Here is a 13843-nt window from a genome sequence, read left to right as displayed (position 1 = left end):
GAGTATTGCTCTGTTGCCCAGGCTGGAGTGCAATGGCACAATCTTGGCTCACTGCAGCCTCCGCCTCCGGGTCCAAGTGATTCTCTTGCCTCGGCCTCCAGAGTAGCTAGAGTTACAGGTGTGGACCACCATGCCTGGCTAATTTTTGTATTTTTAGTAGAGATGGGGTTTCATCATGCTGGCCAGGCTGGTCTTGAACTCCTGGCCTCAAGTGACCCACCCGCCTTGGCTGCCCAAAGTGCTGGGATTACAGGCATGAGCCACCATACCCAGCCACTCCATCACTTTTTTTTTGAGCACTTTATTTTCTGGTACTATAATGTGCTCCAGGCTTATTTTGTATATTTCTTGCCCAGTCCTCAAGCCATTTCTCCAAGGAGTTCCTTTAATGGAAAATGGTATTAGAAACCAAAATCTGAGTATTAGGTGTGCTTGTTGCTACCAGGGTGTTGGTTCTTTTAGGCCACCTCTGACAGAGCAAAGAAATATATGTGGCCAACATTGTGAAACCCTGTCTCTACTAAAAATACAAAAATTAGCCAGGTGTGATGGCGGACGCCTGTAATCCCAGCTACTTGGGAGGCTGAGGCAAGAGAATAGCGTGAACCTGGGAGACGGAGGTTGCAGTGAGCTGAGATCGTGCCACTGCACTCCAGCCTGGGTGACAAGGGTGAGACTCCATCTCAAAGAAAAAAAAGAAATATACGTGTGTTTACTAACCTGTGTATATAGAAATATTTTTTTTCTTTTTCTTTTTTTTTTTTTTGAGATGGAGTCTCACTCTGTCACCCAGGCTGGAGTGCAATGGCGTGATCTTGGCTCAGTGCAACCTCTGCCTCCTGGATTCAAGCAACTCTCCTGCCTCAGCCTCCTGAGTAGCTGGGACTACAGGCTTGTGACACCACACCTGGCTAATTTTTTTGTATTTTAGCAGAGACAGTGTTTCACTGTGTTATTAAATTAAAAATGATTTCTTACTGATATCTCCAACTCTAATCCATGACCACATATATCATTCTATGTGGTATAGATCATAGATCATTGCTTATCTGTAAATTCCCAATCCAACAGTGAGAAACCTGGCTCCCACCATCCACCAACCATTTACTTAATTATTCAATTGCAGTATTTTTGTATAGCAGTACATTATTCCCCCCTTACCTGTGAGGGATACATTCCAATATCCCCAAATGCCTGAAACCATGGATAGTATCCAATTCTATATATACTGTTTTTTCTATACAAACATACATACATACCTATGGTAAAGTTTCTTCCTCTCCTCTCCTCTCCTTTCCTTTTTTTTGGAGATGGAGTCTTGCTCTGTCACCCAGGCTGGAGTGCAGTGGTGTGATCTCGGCTCAATGCAACCTCTGCCTCTCAGATTCAAGCAATTCTCCTGCTTCAGCCTCCTGAGTAGCTGGGACTACAGGCTTGTGATACCACGCCTGGCCAATTTTTGTATTTTAGTAGAGACAGTGTTTCACTGTGTTGCCCAGTCTAGTCTTGAACTCCTGAGCTCAGGCAATCTGCCCACCTCAGCCTCCCAAAGTCCTAGGATTACAGGCAAGAGCCACTGTGCCCAGCCTATGTAAGATTCATTTATAAATTAGGCACAGTAAAAGATTAACAATAATGAAATAGAACAATTATAAAATATACTAATATGGTTTGGCTCTGTGTCCCCACCCAAATCTCATCTTGTAGCTCCCATAATTCCTACGTGTGGTGGGAGGCACCCAGTGGGAGATGATTGAATTATGGTTTGGGCGGGGTCTTTCCCATGCTGTTCTCGTGATAGTGAATTGGTTTCATGAGATCTGATGGTTTTAAACACAGGAGTTTCCCTGCACAAGCTCTTTTTGTCTGCCACTATCCATGTAAGTTGTGACTTGCTGCTTTTTGCCTTCTGCTGTAATTGTGAGGTGTCCTCAGCCATGTGGAACTGTAAGTCCATTAAACTTTTTTCTTCCCAGTCTCAGGTATGTCTTTATCTGCAGCATGAAAATGGACTAATACATATACTATAATAAAAGTTACATGAATATGGTCTCTCTCACTCAAAATATCTTATTGTATTGTACATACCTATCTTCTTGTTGACTGTCAGTAACTGAAACTGTGAAAGAGAAACTGCAGATGATGAGGGACTACTATATCAGGATTTAACTTTATCAACTAGAGTACAGTTCTTACGTGCAGGTTTTTTTTTTTTTTTTTTTTTTTTTTTTTTTTTTTTTTTTTGCTTATAGTCTTACCAACTCCATTCACTTCCAAAGTTACTTATGTCAGCACTTTCACCCTGCCCCTTTAAGGGTGTTGTTTAACGTAACTATAATATAGAGTACCCTGTCAGAGTCTGAATTCTCTTTTTTTTTTTTTGAGACAGAGTCTTGCTCTGTCACTAAGGCTGGAGTGCAGTGATGCGATCTCGGCTCACTGCAACCTCTGCCTCCCGGGTTCAAGCAATTCTCCTGCTTCAGCCTCCTGAGTAGCTGGGAATACAGGCGACTGCTACCATGCCCAGATAATTTTTTGGATTTTTAGTAGAGACAGGGTTTCGCTGTGTTAGCCAGGATGGTCTCGATTTCCTGACCTCAGGATCTGCCTGCCTTAGCCTCCCAAAGTGCTGGGATTACAGGCGTGAGCCACTGTGCCTGGCCAGAGTCTGAATTCTTGTCTGGGTTCTCCCAACCTCCTAAATGATTTCTTTTTAATTTGCATACATTGAGGTCCACTTTTTGTGTTATAAAGTTCTATAGTTTGATAAATGCATAATGTCATGTAGCCACCATTAATAATATGATACAGAATAATTTCACTGCCCTAAAAAATCTTGCACTTCACCTATTCATCCTTCCCCTTTTCCCCAAGCCACTAGCAACCACTGATGTTTTTACTATCACTTATATTAGGTTGTATAAAGTACTTTTGCATCAACCTAATATTTTTGCCTTTTCCAGAATGTTATATTGTTGGAATCATACAGTATGTTACCTTTACAGACTGGCTTTTTCCACTTAGCAATATAGGTTCCTCCATGCCTTTCTTTGGCTTGATAGCTTAATTCTTTTCATTGCTGAGTAATATTATATCATATGGATGTATCACAGTTTTAGTTCATTTTTTAGTTGCTCTCTAGTATATTGTATGGCTCTATTTAACTCATTTTCTATGATGGACATGCAGGCTGTTTTCTTTAATTCTTCTTTCGTTCCCCCTCTTTGAGGAAGAAGTATATATACTTCTCTCTCCATTTGTTACATAACCAAGCTTCATATCACAGAAGTGTATGTCTTCTCCTCTGCCATAAGACTGGCATGTCCTAGATGGGGCTGCTACATTCACTGGGTACAAGAGTAAAGACAGCTTACAGATGAGTAATATAAAAGAAAAAGAGACCTTTGTAATTGTAAGCCATTTTGTGGACCTTTGTAACATGCATAACAAAAGAAAAAGCTAGCAAGTACCTCCCCAGTCCTCATTTTTTTTTTTTTTTTTTTTTTGGGGGGGATAGGGCCTCACTCTGTCACCCAGGCTGGAGTTCAGTGGCATGATCTCAGCTCACTGAAGCCTTGAGCTCCCTGGCTCAAGCGATCCTCCTGTCTCAGCCTCCCTCATAGTTGGGACCAAAATCATATGCCACCATGCTCAACTAATTTTTAAAAAAAATTTTAAATTTTTTTTGTAGAGACGGGGTTTCGTCATGTTGCCCAGGTTGGTCTCGAACTCCTGGGCTCAAACCATCTGCCCGCCTCCACCTTTGCTTCCCAAAGTGCTGGGATTACAGGTGTGAGCCACTGTGCCCAGACCCAATCATCATTTCGAACACCATCTCCCCTCATCTTAGCTTTTCTTCTTGTTATTCTTTTGCAAAGCTGGGTCCACAATTCATTCAGTAGGGAGTAATATTGAAAGGATTCCAGTTTCAATTTAATATTTTATTTGGCTTTTGGTTGTCTATTCAAGGTTTATGACAAAATTTGCTAAGTTTTAAATCTGTGCTTACTATTTTTGGGGAGATAAGGAAGGTAATGAATTCTTTGGAGTTACACTGTCCAATACATTAGTTACTAGTCATATTTGGCAATTTAAATTTAACTTACTTAAAATTAAATAAAATTAAAAATTCAATTTCTCATAGCACCAGCCACATTTCAGGAGCTCAACAGCCACATGTGGCTAGTGGCTACCATATTGAACAACACAATTTTATATATATCTCCATCACTGCAGGAACGTCTATTGAACAGCACTGCCTTAGATAGTATGCTGAAAGCTATATATGCATATTTAACGAACAAGCATAGAGTTCATGAAGCTAGCATGGATCTCGGGGTAAATTCCTTGCTCTAATTAGTATGCCTTATGTTGCCTTAGGGTTAGTGTCTGACCTTGAAATAACTGAAAAAAAATATGTCTATAAAACTCTCTGACTGCCCTGAACCTTGGATCCTATACCTATTAATCCATGTAACATCAAGCAACAGTGAGAGGAGAAGAGTCTTTAAAAATATGGTTCAGTGCCTAGAAGTAGCTATTGTAAATGCAAGGTGACAAGGAAGGTACACTAAGAGGAAAGAGGCTTCCTCTATCCTTCCTTACTCACCATTGAGGGAACAGAATAGATTGTGTGTGTGTGCGTGTATAGGGGGCAGTCAGAAAGGAGGCATTTCCAGTGAAACCCTAACATGCAAAATGCCCATACTAGTTTATGCCTAGTACACTCAAATACTACCTCCCCACCTCCATTGTTGCAAGGAAAAAATAATTATATTCCTTTTCAAGTTGGAACACCCAGGCTCACAAAAGTAAATTGTCCAAGATCACACAACTTGTAAATGGCCAAGTCAGGGCTCTAACCAAGGTCCTCCTGGCACTTACTCTTCCACATACTACCTCCCTATCTGTTCCCACGTCCCCGCTCCTCCTAGCAGCTCTGGCGAATTGTGAAGGAGCCATCCAAATTCAGGGCTGTAAGTCAGGAGCTGCAGTGTCCTGCCACTATCTGTAGTTGAGACTCTTGTCTTACAGGTGCCAATTTATTTACTCCTTTACCTAAATCGGTAAGGCTGGTGGGCATCGAATAACCTAAGCGCCGGGGAGTTTTAAAGCCACAGGGATTGGGGCTCGCGCTCCGTCCCGCACAGATCCCATTCCGCTGCTCTGAGGGTTCCCGCGATCGCCAGGGGACACCCAACACCAGGGGTCGGAGAAGCGAGAGAGGCCTAGGCTATACATTGGCACCAGCACCTGGAGCAGCCGAGGCGCAGAGCAGAGGCGGGCGCCTGAGTGTGCTGGGCGGGGAGAGGGTGGCCCGGGAGGAGCCCACCGGCCTTCCAGTGCCCAGCGAAGCCGCTGCCGCCGCGTATCTGCGCTCTGTTCCTCCTGCCCCGCGCGGATTCGTGTGTGTAAAATGGAACGCTCGAACGGTGAATCTGCTATGGTAGGGACGGCGCGGACCTTGGAGCCATCGAGCATTGGACCCAAGTTCAAGTTCCCTCCTCTCCAAACTCATCTGTTCTGGTCCCGGGAGCCTCAGTTTTCTCCTAGGGGGTCACGAGCTAAGCCGACAGCCCGCGAAGGCGCGTCGCCCACATGGGTCTGAGTCCCGCCGCCGGGCCCAGTGCCTGCTCGCAGGTTCCCGAGAAGGGCGGGGGAGCGCGGACCGGAGGCAGAGTGAGGCGGCCTGGGAGCTCCGGGGCTTTGAGGATGGATCCTGGCTTCCTCAGAGGATGCATGGGTTCCATTTTTCTGCCGCCCACACCCCAGCCCCATTTTCTTTTTTAAATTTATTTTTATTTTTTTTATTATACTTTAAGTTCTAGGGTACATGTGCACAACGTGCAGGTTTGTTACATATGTATACATGTGCCACGTTGGTGTGCTGGAACCATTAACTCGTCATTTACATTAGGTATATCTCCTAATGCTATCCCTCCCCCGTCCCCCCACCCCACAGACAGGCCCTGGTGAGTGATGTTCCCCTTCCTATGTCCAAGTGTTCTCATTGTTCAATTCCCACCTGAGCGAGAACATGTGGTGTTTGGTTTTTTTGTCCTTGCGATAGTTTGCTGAGAATGATGGTTTCCAGCTTCATCCATGTCCCTACAAAGGACATGAACTCATCATTTTTTATGGCTGCATAGTATTCCATGGTGTATATGTGCCACATTTTCTTAATCCAGTCTATCATTGATGGACATTTGGGTTGGTTCCAAGTCTTTGCTATTGTGAATAGTGCCACAATAAACATACGTGTGCATGTGTCTTTATAGCAGCATGATTTATAATCCTTTGGGTATATACCCAGTAATGGGATGGCTGGGTCAAGTAGTATTTCTAGTTCTAGATCCTTGAGGAATCGCCACACTGTCTTCCACAATGGTTGAACTAGTTTACAGTCCCACCAACAGTGTAAAAGTGTTTCTATTTCTCCACATCCTCTCCAGCACCTGTTATTTCCTGACTTTTTAATGATCACCATTTTAACTGGTGTGAGATGGTATCTCATTGTGGCTTTGATTTGCATTTCTCTGATGGCCAGTGATGATGAGCATTTATCCATATGTCTGTTGGCTGCATAAATGTCTTCTTTTGAGAAGTGTCTGTTCGTATCCTTTGCCCATTTGTTGATGGGGTTGTTTGTTTTTTTCTTGTAAGTTTGTTTGAGTTCTTTGTAGATTCTGGATATTAACCCTTTGTCAGATGAGTAGATTGCAAAAATGTTCTCCCATTCTGTAGGCTGCCTGTTCACTCTGATGGTAGTTTCTTTTGCTGTGCAGAAGCTCTTTAGTTTAATCAGATCCCATTTGTCAATTTTGGCTTTTGTTGCCGTGGCTTTTGGTGTTTTAAACATGAAGTCCTTGCCCGTGCCTATGTCCTGAATGGTATTGCCTAGGTTTTCTTCTAGAGTTTTTATGGTTTTAGGTCTAAGATTTAAGTATTTAATCCATCTTGAATTAATTTTTGTATCAGGTGTAAGGAAGGGATCCAGTTTCAGCTTTCTACATATGGCTAGCAAGTTTTCCCAGCACCATTTATTAAATAGGGAATCCCTTCCCCATTTCTTGTTTTTGTCAGGTTTGTCAAAGATCAGATGGTTGTAAATGTGTGGTATTATTTCCGAGGGCTCTATTCTGTTCCATTGGTCTATATCTCTGTTTTGGTACCAGTATCATGCTGTTTTGGTTACTGTAGCCTTGTAGTATAGTTTGAAGTCAGGTAGCATGATGCCTCCAGCTTTGTTCTTTTGGCTTAGGATTAACTTGGCAATGTGGGCTCTTTTTTGGTTCCATATGAACTTTAAAGTAGTTTTTTCCAATTCTGTGAAGAAAGTCATTGGTAGGTTAATGGGGATGGCATTGAATCTATAAATTACCTTGGGCAGTATGGCCATTTTCACGATATTGATTCTTCCTATCCATGAGCATGGAATGTTCTTCCATTTGTTTGTGTCCTCTTTTATTTTGTTGAGCAGTGGTTTGTAGTTCTCCTTGAAGAGGTCCTTCACATCCCTTGTAAGTTGGATTCCTAGGTATTTTATTCTCTTTGAAGCAATTGTGTATGGGAGTTCACTCATGATTTGGCTGTTTGTCTAGGAAGAAACTGCATCAACTAACGAGCAAAATCACCAGCTAACATCATAATGACAGGATCAAATTCACACATAATAATATTAACCTTAAATGTAAATGGGCTACATACTCCAATTAAAAGACACAGACTGGCAAATACGATAAAGAGTCAAGACCTATCAGTGTGCTGTATTCAGGAGACCCATCTCAGGGGCAGAGACACACATAGGCTCAAAATAAAGGGATGGAGGAAGATCTACCAAGCAAATGGAAAACAAAAAAAGGCAGGGGTTGCATTTCTAGTCTCTGATAAAACAGACTTTAAACCAACAAAGATCAAAAGAGACAAAGAAGGCCACTACATAATGGTAAAGGGATCAATTCAACAAGAAGAGCTAACTATCCTAAATATATATGCACCCAATACAGGAGTACCCAGATTCATAAAGCAAGTCCTTAGAGACCTACAAAGAGACTTAGACTCCCACACAATAATAATGGGAGAATTTAACACCCCACTGTCAACATTAGACAGATCAATGAGACAGAAAGTTAAAAAAGATATCCAGGAATTGAACTCAGCTCTGCACCAAGCAGACCTAACAGACGTCTACAGAACTCTCCACCCCAAATCAACATAATATACATTCTTCTCAGCACCACACCGCACTTATTCCAAAATTGACCACATAGTTGGAAGTAAAGCACTCCTCAGCAAATGTAAAAGAACAGAAATTATAACAAACTGTCTCTCAGACCACAGTGCAATCAAACTGGAACTCAGGATTAAGAAACTCACTCATAACTGCTCAACTACATGGAAACTGAACAACCTGCCCCTGAATGACTACTGGGTACATAATGAAATGAAGGCAGAAATAAAGATGTTATTTGAAACCAATGAGAACAAAGACACAACATACCAGAATCTCTGGGACACATTTAAAGCAGTGTGTAGAGGGAAATTTATAGCACTAAATACCCACAAGAGAAAGCAGGAAAGATCTAAAATTGACACCCTAACATCACAATTAAAAAAACTAGAGAAGCAAGAGCAAACACATTCAAAAGCTAGCAGAAGGCAATAAATAACTAAGATCAGAGCAGAACTGAAGGAGATAGAGACACAAAAACCCTTCAAAAAATCAATGAATCCAGGAGCTGCTTTTTTGAAAAGATCAACAAAATTGATAGCTAGCAAGACTAATAAAGAAGAAAAGAGAGAAGAATCAAATAGACGCAATAAAAAATGATAAAGGGGATATCACCACTGATCCCACAGAAATACAAACTACCATCAGAGAATATTATAAACACCTCTATGCAAATAAACTAGAAAATCGAGAAGAAATGGATAAATTCCTGGACACATACACCCTCCCAAGACTAAACCAGGAAAAAACTGAATCCCTGAATAGACCAATAACAGGCTCTGAAATTGAGCCAATAATTAATAGCCTACCAACCAAAAAAGTCCAGGACCAGAAGGATTCACAGCCGAATTCTACCAGAGGTACAAGGAAGAGCTGGTACTAGTCCTTCTGAAACTATTCCAATCAATAGAAAAAGAGGGAATCCTCCCTAACTCATTTTATGAGGCCAGCATCATCCTGATACCAAAGCCTGGCAGAGACACAACAAAAAAAGAGAATTTTAGACCAATATCCCTGATGAACATCGATGCAAAAATCCTCAATAAAATACTGGCAAACCAAATCCAGCAGCACATCAAAAAGCTTATCCACCATGATCAAGTGGGCTTCATCCCTGGGATGCAAGGCTGGTTCAACATATGCAAATCAATAAACATAATCCATCATATAAACAGAACCAAAGAAAAAAAACCACATGATTATCTCAATAGATGCAGAAAAGGCCTTTGACAAAATTCAACAGCGCTTCATGCTAAAAACACTCAATAAATTAGGTATTGATGGGACGTATCTAAAAATAATAACAGCTGTTTATGACAAACCCACAGCCAATATCGTACTGAATAGGCAAAAACTGGAAGCATTCCCTTAGAAAACTGGCACAAGACAGGGATGTCCTCTCTCACCACTGCTATTCAACATAGTGTTGGAAGTTCTGGCCAGGGCAATCAGGCAGGAGAAAGAAATAAAGAATATTCAATTAGGAAAAGAGGAAGTCAAATTGTCCGTTTGCAGATGACATGATTGTATATTTAGAAAACCTCATCTTCTCAGCCCGAAATCTCCTTAGGCTGATAAGCAACTTCAGCAAAGTCTCGGGATACAAAATCAGTGTGCAAAAATCACAAGCATTCTTACACACCCAGCCCCATTTTCGACGCCCTCTACTTGGCAGCCGGTGAGCCCCCGGCCCCTGCGTTTCTGGCTCCAGCCCCAGGTGGCGGCGCTGTAGGCTGGAGCCCCTGGAAAGCGCTGGCCTGGCAGCCCTGGGGAGTGTTCCAGGCCCTTGGACCGCAGGGAGGGCAACCAAATGGCAGAGGCGGTAACGGAGAGCATCCCTGAACGGTAAAAAGTCGTCTAAAGGATCGAAGAAACGGAGTGTGAGCGAGTCCGTGGGCGGGACAGCACCTTCGGGTGCCGGTCAGAGGAGCGAGCGGCGGAAGAGGCGGGTCCAGGGCGGTGTAATTAAGGCGCGGAGCCCAGACCCTCCTGCTACAGTGCCTCGGGCTTTCCTGGAGGCGGGCGGCGGGATGCTGCTCCGTTCTCCGGGTCCTCTCCTCCGGTTCTTGTCGTTTGGTCACGCCCTCAGTTCAGTCGGTTATTGGAAAACGATCAAGGCCCAAAGATGGTTTACGTGGCGTTGTGGATGTTATCACCGTTGTTTGGTGACCGAGCCTGGAGCTTGAGCCCTGGGACGTCTTGCCAGCCGCATGTGGTCCCGTGCCCACTTCTCGCGGTGGCGCGTTAATCCACCTAGACTGTGCATTGGTCCAGTCTGGGTTGACCCCGACCCGAAGTGGCCCTTTCCTTCGCGTCCTGAACTTCGCTTCTCCGTCGGTGTCTGGTCTCTTCCCGCCGGCGGGCTCTGCGGTGGCGGGAGGAGCTGTACTACTCGTGCCTTAGCGCACCCTTACTTTCCCAGGCCAGAAACGCGAAATGCTGTCGGCCTTCCAGAGGCTGTTCCGAGTCTTATTTGTGATTGAAACAGTCTCAGAATACGGAGTCCTGATCTTCATTTATGGATGGCCCTTTCTCCAGACCCTTGCGATGCTCCTGATCGGGACAGTGTCTTTCCACCTTTGGATCCGCAGAAATCGAGGTGAGTGGCTTTAGGGGCCCTGGTAGGAAAAGCTTCCTTCACCCAGGTGCCCGGAAAGGCGAGTTTCGCTTCCGGGATCTTTCAGGATCACTCCAGCTCCTTAGTCTGAAGGCCTAGGACAGTTCTGCAAATCACCATGTTAAAAAAAACCCTGGGTGTGCCTCCTGGTTTGTGAGTAGAAAGGGCAAGATGTGGTTGGGAAGGAAGATTGTGGCTAGAAGCAACCAAAGGTGGAAAATCTAGGACATTTGTGCACTGTAGGTTTAGAAGTCCCAGGAATCCCAGGCCAGCTCCTCTAGGGGGCCATCTTCCACTAAATCTCTTTTGCGGGTCTGCCCCGTCACTTAGATACCCTAGGAGAGCTGATCTCAAAGCGGAGTCCCGCGATCAGCAGAATCAGCATCACCTGAGAACTCCTTAAAAATGCAAACTGCCAGGCGCGTTGGCTCACGCCTGTAATCCCTGCACTTTGGGAGGCCAAGGCCCATCACTTGAGGTCAGGAGTTTCAGACCCGCCTGGCCAACATGGTGAAACCCATCTCTACTAAAAATACAAAAATTAGCCTGGCGCGCGTGCCTGTAATCCCAGGTACTAGGGAGGCGGAGGCAGGAGAATCGCTTGATCCTGGGAGAAGGAGGTTGGAGTGAGCCGAGATGGCGCCACTGCTCTCCAGGCTGGGCAACAGAGCGAGACTCCGTCTCAAGAAAAAACAAAAAAACAAAAAACAAACCAACAAAAAACAACAGCAAAAAACTCTACCGGGTGCGGTGGCTGACACCTGCAATCCCAGTACTTTGGGAGGCCGAGGTGGGAGGATCGCTTGAGCCCAGAAGTCACAGCCTGGGCAATATGGTGAAACCCCGTCTCTACAAAAAAATATGAAAAATTAGCTGGGCTATGTGGCACCCATCTGAAGTTCCAGCTACTCGGGAGGATCACCTGAGCCCGGGGAGGTCGAGGCTGCAGTGAGCCAAAATCGTGACACTGCACTCCAGCCTGGGCAATCGGAGTGAGACCCTGTCCAAAAAGAAAAAAAAAAAAGCCGGACGCGGTGGTTCACTCCTGTAATCCCAACACTTTGGGAGGCTGAGGCAGGTGGATCACCCGAGGTCAGGAGCTCAAGACCAGCCTGGTCAACATAGTGAAACCCCATCTCTACTAAAAATACAAAAATTGCAGCAGGGCGTGGTGGCTCACGCCTGTAATCCCAGCACTTCGGGAGGCCGAGGAGGGCGGATCATGAGGTCAGGGGATCAAGACCACCCTGGCTAACACGGTGAAACCCTGTCTCTACTAAAAATACAAAAAATTAGCCGGGCGTGGTGGCAGGCACCTGTAGTCCCAGCTACTCGGGAGGCTGAGGCAGGAGAATAGTGTGAACCCAGGAGGCGGAACTTGCAGTGAGCCGTGATCGCGTCACTGCACTCCAGTCTGGGCAACTGAGCCAGACTCTGTCTCAAAAAAAAAAAAAAAAAAAAAATTAGCTGGGCCTGGTGGTGCGGTGCCTGTAATCCCAGCTACTCGGGAGGCTGAGGCAGGAGAATCGCTTGAGCCCGGGAGGCAGAGGTTGCAGTAAGCAGGGATTGCACCATTACTGCACTCCAGCCTGGGCGACAGAGCGAGACTCTGTCTCAAAAACAAACAAACAACAACAACAAACTCTGTCGCCTACCCCACATCCACAGAATCAGAAACTCTGGGGGTGAGGCACAGAGACCCGTGTTTTAAGAAGACCTCCAGGTGATGTGGATGCATGCTGTTGAAAAATCAGAGCTCTAGGGTCATCTCCACAAGGCATGCATATGATCAGCTGCTCTCTTTTTAGCCAGAGCACGAGCCAGGCGGTTGCACGGTTCTTCATGGGCCTCTGGGCACTCCGTTTAAGGCTGGGGCCTGAGGGAATCTCAGGCAGGGACGGCGTTGCTTGCGGAAAGCCTGCTGGCCTGGGGATCAAGAGGCCAAGACCCCAGTTCTGTTTGTGCCATGAAAGATGAGGACAGGGAAATGGATGTGTGTGTGGGCAATTGTTCTTAAATCTGTAATGGTTTAAGTAATTGCAAACTCCAGCTTTTAAATAATGCTCTAATGATTTTATTTAATTAATTAATTAATTTATTTATTTATTGTGAGACAGGGTCTCGCTCTGTCGCCAGGCTGGAGTGCAGTGGCCTGATCTCGGCTCATTGCAACCTCCGCCTCCCGGGTTCAAGCAATTCTCTGCCAGCCTCCCGAGTAGCTGGGATTACAGGCGCCCGGCATCACGCCTGGCTAATTTTTATATTTTTAATAGAGACGGGGTTTCACCATCTTGTCCAGGCTGGTCTTGAACTCCTAACCTCGTGATCCACCCGCCTCAGCCTCCTGGGTGCTGGGATTACAGGCATGAGCCACCTTGCCCGGCTGCTCTAATGGTTATATAATAAATAATTTACATTAGTTTAGTGTTGATCAGTGTTCTTTCCAGGGTAAAAGGAAAAACATTTTCAAAAGGTAGTTGTGTCTTCTCACAGTGTTTGGGGGTTTAAGTGAAAGTTTTATTTTCTCTCTTTCTTCCTGGTCTGTCACCCAGGCTGGAGTGCAGTGGCACAATCTCAACTCACTGCCATCTCTGCCTCCTGGGTTCAAGCGATTCTCCTGCCTCAGTCTCCTGAGTAGCTGGGACTACAGGCGTGCGCCACCACACCTGGCTAATTTTTTTGTATTTTTAGTAGAGACGGGGTTTCACCGTGTTGGCCAGGATGGTCTCGATCTCTTGACCTCGTGATCTGCCTGCCTCGGCCTCCCAAAGTGTTGGGATTGCAGGCATGAGCCACCACGCCCAGCTAAGTGAAAATTTTCTAAATAGTCTTCAACTCCCACCCCCACTGCCCCGGGGCACCAACCCCCACCCCAAGCTAGAAGGAGGGTATTATCTATTCTGGGGAATTCTGTCCAGCAGTCCAGTCAGATGAGGGCATGAAATAGCTCCTTGGTTTGTGAACCACAGGGCTCACTGCTAGCTTTAGCACAAGCA

General features: G+C 45.2%; 1 protein-coding gene and 2 long non-coding RNA genes across 5 annotated transcripts in view, besides 3 other annotated features; all 3 read left to right on the top strand.

The window, feature by feature from the left end:
• Positions 9855–10114: an enhancer, noted in NCBI's record as "active region_24742". NCBI's record gives its function as "activates an Ori minimal core promoter by ATAC-STARR-seq in GM12878 lymphoblastoid cells {active_cell/tissue: GM12878}" and the evidence as "EXISTENCE:reporter gene assay evidence [ECO:0000049][PMID:35858748]".
• The window catches only part of KHDC1 (KH domain containing 1), a 69065-nt gene continuing 65224 nt past the window's right edge, over positions 10003–13843 (top strand). Inside the window, exons 1-2 of one of the 2 annotated variants that reach the window (NM_001395215.3) lie at positions 10003–10075; positions 10653–10829. The gene's annotated coding sequence lies outside the window, so the exon portion shown is untranslated. Of the gene's footprint in view, positions 10076–10221; positions 10830–13843 lie in introns of those variants that run through there. The other variant, NM_001251874.4, reaches the window with a different exon arrangement.
• The window catches only part of C6orf147 (chromosome 6 open reading frame 147), a 36245-nt gene continuing 32404 nt past the window's right edge, over positions 10003–13843 (top strand). The window contains exons 1-2 of the long non-coding RNA NR_027005.4: positions 10003–10075; positions 10653–10829. This is a non-coding gene — a long non-coding RNA (chromosome 6 open reading frame 147). The remainder of the gene's footprint in view (positions 10076–10652; positions 10830–13843) is intronic.
• LOC122539213 (KHDC1-KHDC1L) overlaps positions 10222–13843 on the top strand; it is an 86616-nt gene continuing 82994 nt past the window's right edge. For both annotated transcript variants that reach the window (NR_173146.1, NR_173145.1), the window contains exon 1: positions 10222–10829. This is a non-coding gene — a long non-coding RNA (KHDC1-KHDC1L). The remainder of the gene's footprint in view (positions 10830–13843) is intronic.
• Positions 10635–10704: an enhancer, noted in NCBI's record as "active region_24741". NCBI's record gives its function as "activates an Ori minimal core promoter by ATAC-STARR-seq in GM12878 lymphoblastoid cells {active_cell/tissue: GM12878}" and the evidence as "EXISTENCE:reporter gene assay evidence [ECO:0000049][PMID:35858748]".
• Positions 12366–12993: an enhancer, noted in NCBI's record as "H3K27ac-H3K4me1 hESC enhancer chr6:74017111-74017738 (GRCh37/hg19 assembly coordinates)". NCBI's record gives its function as "activates a minimal SCP1, AML or CMV promoter by ChIP-STARR-seq in primed H9 embryonic stem cells {active_cell/tissue: H9 hESC(primed)}" and the evidence as "EXISTENCE:reporter gene assay evidence [ECO:0000049][PMID:30033119]".

This window comes from Homo sapiens, chromosome 6 (assembly GCF_000001405.40).
Source record: "Homo sapiens chromosome 6, GRCh38.p14 Primary Assembly".
NCBI classification, from domain to species: Eukaryota; Metazoa; Chordata; class Mammalia; order Primates; family Hominidae; genus Homo; species Homo sapiens.
The sequence above is the reverse complement of the archived record's forward strand: the minus strand, read 5'-3'. Positions and strand labels throughout refer to the sequence as shown.